Consider the following 15,807-nt stretch of genomic DNA (forward strand, 5'->3'; position numbering starts at 1 on the left):
TTGATTTCAGGAGATTGAATTGGACTGGGTACAGTCCAATACCAAGGGGTAAATAAGTATAAGCAAGGCACTAACAAAAATTTCCACCAAAATATAATGAGGGCAATCCCTTTGACAGGCTTTGAGGAAAAGAAGAAGAAAGATGGAAAGACGCTAGTTTATCCTGAATCTCGGGAAGTAAAAGGAAAAATTTTATAACTATGAGGCAGAAGTAAACTATAGTTGTAGTCTCTTGAACATTAAGTAGGAAAAAATTAGAGATACCATTTATTTATTTTAAAATTTTTTATTGAGCCTATTTTGTTTTCTTCTCCAGGGCCAGGAATACAATGGTGGCCCTCATAGCTGTGGCTCTTGCTCTCTTGGCTCTTACAACTGGGCCGTGTGAATCCATAAGTTGCTATGGGAGCACAGAGGAAACTTCTAGCTCAACTGCCTTGAGGGCTAGTAAAGTCTTTCTAGAGGAAGTGACATTTTAGTTGAGACCTAAAGTTCAGGTAGGAAATAGCTAATTAAGGAAGGCTGGGAGTATCAAAAAGATTGTTCCAAGCAGAGAAAACAGCATGCATGATGGCACAAAAGTGAAAGAGCATTTGGTCTATTTTGCAAAAGAAAAGCTAAGTTTGCTAGAGCCTACTGTTTGAAGCAGGAAGCTGTAAGGGTTAAGGCTGGAGAAATAAGCAGGAACCAAATTATGCAGGACTTGGGGCTTTCAGCATAAAACTAGGGCCTGGAGAAGAGAGGAGGAAATAAGATCTTGAAGGGTTTTATCCAGAAAATGGCATAAGATTTGCACCTGTGAAAGGTTTCTCTGGGTGCTATGTGGGGAGTAGATTGGAAGGGGCAAACAGCCTAATTAGAAAGCTGTGTCAATCATTTGGGCAGGAATCGATGGTGCTGAATTACAGCAGTAGCCATGGAAATGGAGAGAAGAGCGTGAGTTTGACAGATATTTAGGAGTCAGACTCTGTAAGATTGATCATGGCTTAGGTGTGGAGGATAAGAGAGAGGGAGGAATGGAGGATGCTTCTTCCAGGTTTCTGGCCTTACTGTATTGCAAATGCATTCTGCTCGTCACTGAGTCATCAAAGGAATTAATGTGGGCCTGGACTCTCTAAGTGGCTTATTTGGCTGAGTGATCTATAGATGAATGCACACCTTTCCACCCCAAGTTCCTATTGCTGCTCTCATCTCTATCTGCCATATCTCATTTCTCTCATGGGTTCTTACCTAAATCCCAGGAAAACTCAGATTGGGGGTGAAAGGTGGTGGAGGGGAAGAATAACTAGAAGATTTAAGATGATCACTTCATTGAATTTGCTTTTATCTTTCCAAAGGACAAGTTTTCCCCCTGCCTTTGGTCTGCTCCACAGAATGAATTCCCTTTTCTGGTTTTGTCTGCTGCTCACAGAGACAGAACAGTGCTACTCGGAGAAATAAACAAACAATTCTCTGCTTTGTGGCTGGCAAGGAGGGCCTGACCTTCACTACTCAATGGCAAAGAAAATGTGATCTCTCCTCCCTCCTAAAGGCCTCCAGGTTCCTTTTCCTAGCAGACTGGAAGGAGGAGCCAAAGGAAGCCCAGAACTGGCTCTGGGCAGGGAACCTCCGCCCCTTCACCTACTTAGCTGAAAATCTGTTAGAGGTAAAATAAACATTATAGCAGAACTGTCATCTGCTAATCGAGATGTGTAGGTGAGAGGGAACCCTGGGGAGTCCAGAGAGAGATGTCCGACAGATGGCTTAGCTTCCGGTGGACAGAGAGGGCCCCTGGACCACAGCACAGGAGCCAGGAAAATTATGTAGGTAATTAAGCTCAGGCTTTTGGTATGGAAGGTCAGGAGGGAAGCTTTGAGAGGCACCTTTTTAAACAGCATCTTTAACCGGCTCTCATTTTAGAAAAAGCCTGGATGGATTCTCTAACTGTTCCCTTTCTGCATTAGAATCCAGAAAGATATAGCTTTAAGTCTGCAGTGGAAATGGCAATGCTGCTGGAGACATCAATTTTGTGTGTTTCTGAGACCGACTAACATTCGTTCCAAGAGAGCTTTCCCCACATGCTGGGGTGAGGTGTGACAGAAATGTGACAGAGGCCCTTGTTTCCACCAGCTTTTCAAAACATTCCTGAGAAGTTTGATCTTGCTTGGCAGGAGCTTCTTGCCGGCTGTGCTGGTAAAATAACGAGGAGTCCCCATTTGTGAGCTGTTTTTCATCCTGGTGGCACTTTTCAAAGCACTGCATCATTAGCCAGGCTGGAAATGGTTTTCAAAGACTGCTTTGCTCAAGCAGGCAGTGCAGGGTCAGAGGCAGTGCAGAGTCAGAGAGGCTGTAGGTGGCCAGAGGACAGTGCGTGGGGGTTTTGTGCCCTGTGAGAAGCCTCAGAACAATCCTCCTTGTGGCTGCACTATTCTCAGAATTGGCAAGGATGGAGCAGAGGCCCTCAGTGTCTCCTGGGTCATTTTGTAATGTGTCCTAAGAAAGATAGGGCAAGAAAAGAAGGTTATGACATGCAAGTGGGGTTGGAGAAATAATAGCAAAGATTATTCTCTCTTCCATCTGTGTAGGGTGGTGTGGGCTGGGAAACTTTATGAAGTTTAATCTACAACCTCCAACTTCACCTTTTGTCTCATATCAGAAATTATCAGCTACTGAACCCAGACCTGTGAATGGGGAAACCCACGGAGTGCATGGAGGAAGTCAATATGCTCTGATTATAGAGATTTCCAAACCCAAATGCTGATATTCTCAAACTTTGGTCTATATCCCAGTCACCTAGATTGGTTTTTTTTTTTTAAAGTAAATTTTCAGAGTTGGCTTTAGAGTCCCTGAATCTGATTCTCCAGGTTGAGAACAGGCCACAGGAATTTTTAATGAGCCCTTTGAGGGCATGAAATGCACATGGAAGTTTGAGAATCATTGTATTGGAGCTGCTGTATTTATCTTTATCCTTTTTTTCTTTGTTTGCATTTGTTCTTGAAAATTCTGCTTTCCTCAGGCATTAGAGGGGCCCAGGGACATCCAACTGAGCGTGGGTGTGTGCCACAGCAAAGGTATTTGAGAACTCCAGCGGAGGAGTGCTGGGGACTCAGGTTCAAAACTAAGGCCTCCTCAGGCGAGGCAGCCAGGTCACTGCTGGAAATGCAGAGGGGGCTGTCAGGCCATCTCAGACAGCTGGGAGTGCAGGCTCTGATTCACAAATGTCAGGGCTGCTGAGGAAGCCTCTCTGGAGAGCTGCTTGCTCCCAAAGAATGAGATAATAATTGCATTGAAAATTACGGAGAAGCAGAAGACTTGTAGAACACATTGGAAATTTTAATCACTTTCTCAGAATGGCTGTAACATTCTCTTTAGCCCTTCCTAGGTGTGTCCTAAGCCTCCCTCATTCTAGCTGACAGGTAATTAGTGCTCTGGCTTGGGAGAAAGATGCACACTTCTCAGATCAAGTAAGATAATGCACATGAAGACACTGCAAAGACTGTAAGGACCACAGTGGAAGGGCTAGCTCTGAATCCCTGCATGGCTCATATGCTGGGGACAGCATGCCCTATCATCTCATAACATTGCTCTTGCTGCCCTCCCGCTGTCCAGAATGCCCTCTGTGCTTTCTCCCCCTGTGAATTCTCCCTCATTTCTCAAGGCTGAGCTCAAATGAAACTGCTCTAGAGTCATTCATTTTCCCCGGCAGAACTAAGCATTCTGTGCCCACTGCTACTAAGGCCACTGGAAAAAGGCTGCATGGTCTCTGGTACGTTGTAGGCCTGATAAATATTCTCATTCAGTTGCCTGATAAATTTCTCTTCCTTCAGCTCACCACTTCTTGATTTGCATGTCTGTCTCCTCTTCAGCATAAGAAATGAGCTTATTCTTCTTGGTATTCTCAATGAGTATGGAAAGCCAACTAGTAGGTGCTCAGTAAATGGCTGTTGAATGAAAACAATAAGTATCAGTTAGAAAAGGTGACCTGAAAGAGGTGAGGCGAAAAGAAATTATTTGCTTTGTTACACAGAGCCCTCCTGGAATGCTATATTGATCTAATGTTTAATCTAAGAACAGCATGGAAGGAGATTTTCTTTTTTTTTTTCAGTTTCTTTTTTTAAATTTTATTTATTTTTTATTTATTTTTATTTTACTTTAAGTTCTAGGGTACATGAGCACAAAGTGCAGGTTCGTTACATATGTATACATGTGCCATGTTGGCGTGCTGCCCCCCTTAACTCGCCTTTTACATTAGGTATTTCTCCTAATGCTATCCCTCCCCCCTTCCCCCACCCCAGGACAGGCCCTGGTGTGTGATGTTCCCCACCCTGTGTCCAAGTCTTATCATTGTTCAATTCCCACCTATGAGTGAGAACATGCGGTGTTTGGTTTTCTGTCCTTGCGATAGTTTGCTCAGAATGATGGTTTCCAGCTTCATCCTAATTCCAATGCATAAGCCACTAAAAAATACCCTGGCCAACATACCTAGATTCTAATGTCATACTATCCTGGTGGTAAATGGTGATGCTTCATGCTGTATTCATTTCTAGTTCAACATAGTTTATGAAGCGGCCTCTTCATGCCTCAGTTTTTCCATCTGCACTGTGGGACAGAGCAAATCGTGACTATCATGAGTAATCCTGCCTTCTCTCCTCTGATATCTTCGGAAGAAGGCAGATGTCACTGGAGGTGGGTGTGTGTAGCTCAGAAAAACAGAGCCATTTGTCACATGTAGTGACAGGCACTAAGGGCAGGGCTTGAGAGGAGAAAAGAGAGTGAGAGAGAGAATCAGAATTGCATCTTTTTTTCTTAATTTTACTCTGGTACCCACTCCACATGGAATTATCCTAACGGGCACATAGGAGGAGAGACTAGCATTTACTGCACAGCTAGCACATTACGGGAAACTTTTATTTAAAGTGGGATCCTCAGACCAACAACATTGACACCGCCTGGCGCTATCTCGGCTCACTGCAACTTCTGCCTCCCGCATGCAAGTGCCTGCACCAGCCTCTGTCGCCAGGCCGCAGTGCAGTGGTGCGATCTTCACTACAACCTCCGCCTTCCGGGCTCAAGCGATTCTCCTGGCCCAGCCTCGCTAGTAGCTGGGACTACAGGCGCGCGCCACCACGCCCAGCTAATTTTTGTATTTTTAGTAGAGACAGGTTTCACCATGTTGGTCAGGATGGTCTCAATCTCTTGACCTCGTGATCCGCCCGCTTTGGCCTCCCAAAGTGCTGGGATTACAGGCGCGAGCCACCGCGCCCAGCTAGGAACTTCTTAAAGATGCAGAATCTAAGTTCCCATCCTAGATTTACTGAATCGGAATCTGGCTTTTAATAAGATCTACCGGTGATTCATATGCATATTAAAATTTGAGAAGCACAAGCATAGAGTAGTTTCAAAAACGTTTGTGAGAGTAAAAGGAGAAGTGGGGAAGAAAAGATGCAGAGGATGTTTAAAAGATATTCTGCCCACCAGGATATAGTGAAATGGAATACATTTTCTCATGCAAATAACTAGAAAAATGCTATGGTGAGGTGGTGGGAGAAAGGGAGGAAGGACTTTTATTTAGCTGCAGACTCACTCAGGGAGTTGACAGAAAAAACATCAATGTGTGAGCTCAGACCAAAGCAGCGTACCCACCCAGCACAATGAGACAGGAGCCTAACAGAGCTTGGAGGCGTGTTGGCTGCTCTTCTGGCCCTGGGCCTTCAGATCTCCTACGGTGTACCCGCCCAGACCTGCCCTGTCATTCACCATGGTAGCAGGATACCCAGGACCTTGCCCCAGGGGTGGTCATGGAGGTGGTGGGGTGTCAGTGTGATCTAGTTCTGTTTAACGATGAATTCTCTTGTCTTCATTTAATTGGAGTCTTAAACTGAATTTCCTCTACCAAATGTAGGGACTTGGTTTGGAAGCCTCTCTGTGGGAAGCACAGTACACTCATGTGTGTATGTGTCTGTGTGCATGCATTCAGGTCTTTGAGATATAATTTACACATAATAAAATGCACAGATTTTAAGTGCTCAGTTTGATGAGTTTTGACAATTGTATGCACACATCCATGTATATGCCAACCAAACTACGTATTTTCATTACTCCAGAGAGTTTCTATTTGTCTCTTTCCAATCAATCCTTCTGTCTCTCCACCCACTTGGAGGCAAAGGGTTCTGGTTTTTATTCCCATAGGGAGTTCTAGTTGGTCCATGTCTTTGCCCCAACGGTTGGTGTTATCGATCTTCGTGATTTTTAGCCATTCTAGTGGGTATTAAATGGTTTCATTGTGATTTCAATTTACATTTCCCTGATGACTCATAATGTTGAGCCCTTTTCATGTGTATATTGTCCATTTATATATCTCTTTTTGTGAAATGTCTGTGCAAATCTATGGCCTCTTTTTAAAAATGTTACCTTTTATTGTTGATTTGTAGGAATTGTTTACACATTTTAGATATACATCCTTGTCAGATGTATGCATTGCAAATTTTTTCCCCAGACTTCGGGTTCCCTATTCATTTTCTTGATTTTTGATTAGCAGAAAAATTTTAATATTTATGAAGTACAATGATTTTTTAATATTTATGAAGTACAATGTATCATTTTTTCTTATTAGTCAGTGCTTTTTGTGTCCACAGAAATCTTGCCTTCCTCAAGGTTTCAGAGATATTCTTCTATGCTTTCTTTTTGAAATTTTGTGGTTCTAGCTTTTACATTTTGGTCTGTGATCCATCCCAAATTAGTTTTTGTGTAAAGTGTAAAACAGAGGTTGAGGTTTGTTTTATTCCATACAGAAATTTGTATGGAATAAAACACTTTGGGCTTTGGCTAAAAGCCAGTTAACTTTGTATGGGGAACTATTTTTGGACTATGTGTTCTGTTCCATTGGATTGATCTGTCTATCCTTATTCCAGTGCCACACAGTTTAATAACTGTATTTTAATGAAATTCTTGAAATCAAGTAGTGTAAGCCTTCCAACTCCCTCATCTTTTTAAAGTTTAGCTATTCTAAACCCTTTACATTTCCATAAAAATCATAGAATTAGCTTGTCATATTTCTTTTCAAAAGCCTGTGGCATTTTGACTGTTTTTTAAAAAATTGAATCCATAGGTTAATATGAAAGACTGGCTATCTTAACAATATTGAGTCTTGTAATTCACGGACATGTTTGTTTATTTAAGTCTCTAATTTCTCTTAGCAATGTTTGTGATTGTCAGTGTAGGCATCTTTTGTACCTTTCATTAGTCTTCTAGATATTAAATCTTTTCGATATTATTATGAATAATTGTTTTAATTTGATTTTTTACTTGTTTTTGACTACTATGTAGAAATTCAATTGATTTTCACATATAGAAGTCGATTTATATTTGAATGTTGAACCAACTTTGCATTCCTGGTACGAACTCACTTAGATTATGTTATAGATATGTGGATATTATTTTCTAACACTTTATTAGTGATATTCATGTCTGTATTCACAAGGGACTCATGGTCTGAAGTTTTGTTTTCTTGTAATGTCTTTGTCAGGTTTTGATGTCAAGATTGTGCTGGCTTTCTAAAATGAGTTTGGAAGTATTCCTAGCTCCTATATTTTCTGAGTTTATGTAACATTAGTATTATTTCTTCCCTAAATATTTGATTAAATTTACTGTTGAACTATCTGGGGCTAAAGTTTCCTTTGTGGGAATATTTTTGAATATAAACTTAATTTCTTCTTTTATCATACATATTTATGGCTATTAAGATTTTCTATGTCTTGTCGCAGTTTTGGTAATTTGTGTCTTTTGAGGAATTTGTCCACTTAATCTAAATTGCCAAATATACTGACATAAAGTTGTTCATCATATGGCTTTATTCTCCTTTTAATGTGTATAGTATCTACAGTGTTGTCCCCTCCTTCATTTCTGATACCAAAAATTTGTATTTTCTTTTTATTCTTGATGAGTGTCTGGATTACGACTGCTGCTTAACAAATTATCCCTAGCATTAGCAGCTTAAGACCACAAATTTAATTTACTCATGGTTTTGTGGGGCTGAAATTTGAGAAAAGCTCAGCTGAACAGTTCTCACTTGGAGCCTTTAATGTCATTGAATTCAGTTGTCAGTTGGGGCTCCAGTCATGTGAGACTCAACTAGGCAGGATGCCCAAGATGGCTTCCTTACATGGCTGGCAGCTGGTGCCTGCTGTTGGCTGGGAGCTCAGCTGGGGCTGTTGATGGAGTGTTTACATGTGGCCTCTCCAGCTTAGCAGCTGTCTTCTTCCAGAGCAAGCATCCCAAGAGAACCAGTTGGAAGTTGTTTGGCTTTTCCTAACATAGATTGAAAGTAAAACATTGCCATGTTCACCAAATTTTACTGGTTACAAGCAAGTCACCGAGGCCAGCCCAAATTAAGAGGAAGAAATATAGAGTCCATTTCTTGATGGAAAGAGCATCAAAAATTTTAAATCGCATTTTATAATCTTCACAGCAGTCTAGGTGGGGATTACCAATTTTATTCATCTTTTCTAATAATAAATGTTTGCACTGATTTTATCTGTTTGTCCATTTTTTATTTAATTGATTTCTGTCCTTATTTTTGTTACTTATTTTCTTCTACTTACTTTAGATTTAATTTGCTCTTCCTTTTCCAGCTTTTAAGATGGAAGTAAACTTAGATCACTGATTTTATGTCTTCCTTCTTCTTATGATAAAGACATTGACAACTACCAATTTCTGAAGTATTATAAATTTGTATTTTGTTGTCTGTTTGTTACATAGTCTGTACTGTAGGTTCATACAGGCAGCCAGCTTCAGGGTGCCAGCAGGCCATAGGAGTTAGAACTGACTACACTGCTCTTTTCTAGAGTATACTGGTTAAGAGCATAGACCTGAAGCCATGTTGTCTGGGTTTAATCCCACCTTGGCACTCACCAGCTACATGATCTTGTCAAATTGCTTAGCCTCTTTGTGCCTCCATTTCCTCTCAAATCATAGATTAACAGATTACTGACAGGCTGAATTCAAATCTATTAAGTAAAATAATGTGTAAAGTGGGGATGGTAATCATGATATCTACCTCAAAGGTTGTTATGAGGGTTAAAGGAGTCGGGATTTGTAAAGTGTTCAGAATACAATTTAAAAATATATTTCTCAGTACTCCTGTTATATTAAAATAGGAAGGCAAATAGGAGGCTCATTAAGCCATTCAAATGATTACTACATGAGTCAGGCAACTGTGCTGGACATCAGTCTTACCATCTAAAGTCACTCTAAAGCTCTACTGTCATTTACTTTCAACATTTTAGGATAACAGCATCATATGTTCTATAAAATTTACAGTTACTGTCTTTGTTCTTGCAACTATTGATTGTTACTAAGTCTTAAGTACCAGGCTAAGTCTATTACATATAGAATATTATTTAAACCTCACAACATATCTTCAAAGATGCCAACTTAGATGGTACCTAGAGGTGAATTAGCCATCACTGTCCCACCTCTGAGTCTCCTTAAAACAAGGACTGCTCTCTTAATCCCCACTCTAGTTTCTTGTCAAGACTAACTAGGGCAGTTTTCCAGTTGGTGCCTCTGGAAATATTGGACATCCTGATTTTTCAGCTGTCTGGAATTGATGGAAAATGTAGTTTCAAGCCAGGGAAGATAATAGAGCGTAGGGGTTAGAAGCAGAAGCTTTGCAATCGGACAGATCTGAGTTGGAGTCCTGACTCTACTCTTTACTAGCTATGTGACCTTGAGAAAGTTCTTTAACATGTAGTCAGCCAACCTTTCATTCATTCCAAAAATATTTACAAGCATCTGTGCAATTCCAGGCTCTGTTCTAGGCTCTGGGGAGACAGCTGGTAATGAAAGAGACTGCAGTCTCTGCTCACATGAGCTTTACATTCAGTGGTTTTATGACTTCTTTATAGGATTGTGGGGAGCTTAATTGGGATAACATAGGTAAAATGCTTAGTGTAGTGCCACTGGAACATATTTGAAAAGGAATAATGTCAGGGAAAATGCAGACACCTTCCTGAATTTTATATTGTTTTCAGACATCTTTTGCCTGACAATAGTGTAGAGGAGTTGCCTTCCAGAATAGCAGTGATTTTTGGAATAACTGATCTGAGGATTGTTCTTCCTTGGCCTCTTTTCAAAGGTGACCAAAAGATGGAAACATACCTAGGATCTTTTATTATAGCAATTTAAAAATATTTATGATAGCTTGTAGAATAATTTGAGAGTAAATTTCATATACGCCTCAACCAAGGAGCCAGCATTACTGGTCATTTAATTGTCCATCCTTCATTGTTTATCTCAATTCTTCAGAAAAATATTCTAGACAAGACTGAAGGTCAGCATTTCATCTTTAAGCTTATTCTAAACCTAAATATTATTGCCCTAAATCTGACTGTACATATAAGAGTAATAAAGGTATTAAGTGGATAAAGAAGATTAATATGGAATGAACCTCTCTATAATTCAAAACAGAAACTACCAATATCTGTAAATTCATACTCTATCTTCCTTCCTTTCACAGTGTACAGACATTACCTTTATCCTATAAAAAATCAGCCCCTCAGATCTTATTCCACTTCTTATCTGCATTATATCCATTTCCTTGGTCATTTGTTTCTCCCCACTAGACTATAAGCTTCTTAAGGGCAGGTGCCATGTTTCACATCTTTATGTATTTTGTTCATATCCTAATGCCTGGCATAGAGTTGGTTTTCGATGTGTGTTTATTGAATTGACTTGAAATGACATAGATTTCCTCTCAAATAATAGACTAATAGATTATTGGCAGGCTAAAATCAAATTCTTCTAACTCTTTCATCTGTTGATTTTATAAAGATTTCTAAAAACATCAAAATGATGGTAAATTTATTTTAAAACACTTTGAATGAAATTTAGCTAAATCAATCCAAAGGCTTAAGTTTAGATAGCCTCACAAAGATGTCATCTCAAACAATGAATTTATCATAGATTCCAGTGAAGAAACATTATTACAAAATCAGAAGTAGTACCTGCCTAATAATGTATATAATTCCACATTAAACGGTTTAAAATGTGCTCTTATTAACTACCACCTCTTTTTTTAGCTTATTTATTTAAACAACTTGACATAAGTATTATTAGATAATCTGATTGCACATTCTCTGGTTATAACAAACAGGAGGACAGACATTATCTTTTATTTGAGTACATATTTTTATAATTTTCAATTGGATGTGAATATATAAAGAGGCTTTAAAAGCTGCTGAAACTTTTGGTTATTTCAGGAAGATTAGTGGAGAATTAATAAGAAAGGAAAAGTTAAAATTTAATCTGGAAAACTTGGGGGCAGGTGTATGCGCTAAAGAATTGGGGGATAAGGGTCACTCAACAAATATTTATTGAGCACTTACTATGTGCGAGCCACTATCCGAGTCTTTTAGATACAGAGAACCCTGCTCTTGCAGAGCTGACATTTAAGTTGGGAGAACATTCATTCAAAGAGATTCTAGTAATAATGACTTTCAAAAGGAACCATTGGATCTCCATTTCTTAGCTTCCTGGAGCTTCTTCGCCCTGTTGAAATGTGAACAGTCCCTTTCTACCTATAAACCCCACAGATTCAGAGAAATTAAAAAGGAAAAGCATGGTCTAGCACAAAACAGGTGCTGTTATAACCTTCCCGGGGTGCAGAGCACCTACTTGTCTTGAGAGGCTACTCAAGTAACTTCCCTGAACAGAAAAATGTTTCAAGGCAATTCTCTCTGTCTATACTAGAATTGACTGGCAACATCCCTGATACAATAAATAATAATATATAGAAGAAAATAAATGCTTCTGTTTCCACAGGCATCTCTATAACATATCTGTCTCAAAAAGATCACAGCAAAAAATAAAGGAGATAATGTAAAGTGTCTAGCATGGTGCCTGGCAAGAGGTTAGCACTAAACACTTAAACATGCACGCACACACAGTCTTCCTCAGCTGCAATGAGAAATATACGGGCCCTGCCTCTGACAGAGAATGTAAATCAGGCTCCTAATTATTCAGCAGAGGCAGTGGGCTCCACCTCCTGCACATCTGGTGTGTGTAAAGCATGTGAATCCCTCTTTAATCAGCAACTCAGAATAATGGCATTTCCAACCCTCATCAGAGAATTCAACCAGGAATTGATTGTGATGAAGCTCTTGCCAAATGCTTGCTGGGACAGTTGATATTTGAGAGAAACTGCCTAATGAATTTGTTATCTGTATGCATTATTTTTCTAGGCTTTTTATTTGAATTAAGAAATCATGAGGAAAACTTACCTGGACTATATTATTGCTAATCTGTATAAAATACTTTGTTGAATTGACATGTGCTGCTTCTTTACATACTTTTTAGCCAATCTGTATTAAAAATATCTGCCTAGCATGGGGCCTGGTCCATGGTAGGTTCTTAATAAGTGTTTGAATATTGAAGGAATGAATCTGCTTGAATAGATTCATGGTTTTTCTTCCTTCGATACAGCCATAAGTGAAAATAACAACCATTAGAATTTGCTTTTTATTCCTTCTCCTTCTGGGGAACTGCTCTTCATCCTTCATGTCTTAGCTGGATATCACCTTCTTTTTGGTCCACCCCTCTGACCCTACCCCACTTTACTTTCTTCTTCAGGCAGGGTTCTAAGTTCTTCCCACCCTGCTCCCACCTCTGGCTTTGCACCTATCACATGTTTTTATAATTGTTTGCACTTATGTCTCCTTGTTGGACAGGGCAGCACTTCAGGGCATGACTGTGTCTTTTTCATTTTTGTAACTGCAGTGTATGGCACAAGGCCTGGCCCAGAGTAGATTAATAAATGTTTAAATGTTTATACACCAACTGAACATTTCTTCCTCGAATTCAGCAACAGGAAAAAGTGATATTTTCAATGAATTTTTATTTAGTTTCTGCTTTATGCAAAACACTTTCCTGATATTATAAGATCTTTGTGGTCCCTACCACTCAGGAGTTCTCCATCAGGTGAGGGAGACAGACATATCCATAAGCACATTCAAGGTTACCTGGATTCAGTGTTCTAATAGCAGTACAGAGACAGTGCTCAGTGGAGTAGGAGGGATGAAAGAGATTAATTCCAACACAGAAATAAAGGAGGCTTATAGCTTGAGGTTGACTTTGAATGGGTAGAATTTTAACAGACATGTATGAGGATGGGAAGCAGATGCCAGGAAGAGAAAAATGCTGTCTTCCTTTACTTGTTTTTAAATGTATTATCTATTCATCCATTCATCCTGCAGACTTTAATGAAGGACTCTGAGGTTTCCAAATGTACAGACTGTATTTTAATAGTTGTATCCATGAATGCCTAGCATGACCCTGATATATGGTAATTTTCCAGTAGATGCTTGTTGGAGACTAAAGTTTGTGAGTATAGAAGTAAATAAGACTGGAAAAGATGGTTGAAACCAAATTGGAAAGAACATAGTTCTGTTTATTGTAGGTGGTCATTGAAAGTTCTTGAGTTGGGGAGGAGTGCAATCAGACCTGGTTATATGTGAAGGATGGATTGTAGGAGAAATAACTAGAGATAAGACAAACAGCTAGATGATAGTTTAAAGGTATAGGTGAGAGTCAATAAGGATGTGAATTAAGCAGTAGAAGTGGAAGGGGCAAAGTAGGGATGAGGAACTTCTGGTATGAGTTGACGTTTCTCCTACATCTCTTTAAAAATCACCCCAAAGCCGGCCAGGTGTGGTGGCTCATGCCCGCAATCCCAACACTTTGGGAGGCCGAGGCGGGCGGATCACGAGGTCAGGAGATGGAGACCATCCTGGCTAACACAGTGAAACCCTGTCTCTACTGAAAATACAAAAAAGTAGCCGGGCGTGGCGGCAGGCGCCTGTAGTCCCAGCTACTCAGGAGGCTGAGGCAGGAGAATGGCATGAACCCAGGAGGCAGAGCTTGCAGTGAGCCGAGATTGTGCCACTGCACTCCAGCCTGGGCAACAGAGCGAGACTCCATCTCAAAAAAAAAAAAAAATCACCCCAAAGCAATAAGGAGAACTAGAACAGGACATACACTCCAACACTGGTGAAACTAGGAAAACATATGTAACCCCAAACCACAATATATACACACAAAACTATACGAGATGTTGGGAATTGATTTAGCAGATCACAGAAAGCTTAAAAAGATGAAAGCTAAGTGTTTGTGGATAGTATACCAGTGAGAAGCAACTTTATTCATTCTGAAGAGCCACAGACAGACCAAAAAACTAAGGACACCAGGTGCTGTGGAAGGTTGTCTCAGTCAGTTTGGGCTGCTCTAATGAAGTTCCATGGACTGGGTGTCTTATAAACAACAGAAATTTATTTCCCATAGTCCCGAAGCCTGGGAGTCTGAGATCAGGGTGCCAGCATGGTTGGGTTCTGGTGAGGGCCTCCTTCCAGGTTGCAGACTGCCACCTTCTCCTGTATCCTCACATGGTGTGAAGGGAATGAGAAAACTCTCTAAGGTCCCCGTTATAAGGGCACTAATCCCACTCATTAGGGTTCAGCACTCATGACCTAGTTACCTCTCAAAGTCCTTACCTGTTAATACCATCGATACTAGGGGTTAGAATTTCAACAAATAAATTTTGAGGGAACAGACACACACATTCAGTCTATAGCAAAGGTGGAAGTGTGGTATAGTTGAAAACAGAGGAATTGGGTGAAAGTCTACAAAACAGTCAGTTCGACCTCCAGACCTCCACCCTGGACATCCAGGTAACTGTCCCTCTCTTATGGCGGGAGAGGAGAGATTTATTCTATGAAGCAGCTGAACCAGAGTGCTTCTGAATTCAGAGATACAAGGTATGGCAGAGAGCTTGGATGAGGTAACCAACTCAAAAGAGAGGGGTCACGTGAAAGGCTGCATCCTGAATGATAAGGCACTCAGCTCCCTTTCCCTACCCTAGCAAAGGCCATCTACTACACTTAAACCTCAATGGAAAAGACTGGTGCCTCCTCCTCTGGGGATCACAGTGGCCAGGGAGAAAGAGGAAAGGGAATACAAGCGCATGCACACACACATGTATTTTCCCAAGGAAAACATCTATGGGTTGGATTTCAGCAGTATTAAGTCTCACTCAATCACAGAGAGTTTCAGTGTATTACTCTTAGAAATGAATGCAAAGCAGAGTCTGGATTTTTTAGAAAGGTCTATCACAGAAAAAGCAGAGAGAAAAGAAAAGCTCTCCAAAAAAAAGAAAAAAAAAAAAGCAAACAAAGAACAGAAAAAAACTTACCTTAAAGCAATAATTAATATCCCCAGAGAGTCAAGGATGCTATAAAAAAGGAATCTGAAGAGAATAAGAAAAAACTCTTATACATTCACAATATAGCAAAAATTAAAAATTTAAAAGAAGAACTGGAACATGAAGTTGATGAAGTCTCACTGAAAGTAAAACACAAAGATATGAATAAGAAGAGAAAAAACATAAGGAAAATGGAGAATTCTAACATCAAACTAATAGACGTTGTAGAAAGCTATAACAGAGAAAAATGAATAAAACAGAATTATCAAATGAATAATTTTATAACATTTTGGAAAACCAAACTACATAAGCATTTAGAGTAAAAGCCCAAAAAACATTCCCCTAAAATAAACTGTACCAAGATACATCCTTAGGAAATTCAGTACACCAGGAACAAAGAAGTAATATAAAGATCTTCCAGAGAGTAAAAAAAGGTCACATACAAAAGTTTAGTAACTAGCAACTACCTTGGAAGACAGAAGACAGTGGAGAACTACATTCAGGATTATAAAGAAATAGTATTTCCAGTCTAGGAATAGACAATTAGCTAAACTATCAAGATGCGTAGTGATAAGATA

The 15,807-nt window shown here is 39.8% G+C and overlaps 1 long non-coding RNA gene across 1 annotated transcript; it reads right to left on the reverse strand.

The window, feature by feature from the left end:
• Nucleotides 1-357: 357 nt before the first annotated feature.
• LOC124904296 (uncharacterized) lies at nt 358-15,241 on the reverse strand. The gene is made up of 3 exons (XR_007066362.1): nt 15,221-15,241; nt 3,812-3,920; nt 358-2,472 (listed from the first exon to the last, which is right to left on the reverse strand). It is a non-coding gene; the product is annotated as an uncharacterized LOC124904296 (long non-coding RNA).
• Between the last annotated feature and the right edge of the window lie 566 nt (nt 15,242-15,807).

The sequence above is a fragment of the Homo sapiens genome, chromosome 1 (genome assembly GCF_000001405.40).
Source record: "Homo sapiens chromosome 1, GRCh38.p14 Primary Assembly".
NCBI lineage: Eukaryota > Metazoa > Chordata > Mammalia > Primates > Hominidae > Homo > Homo sapiens.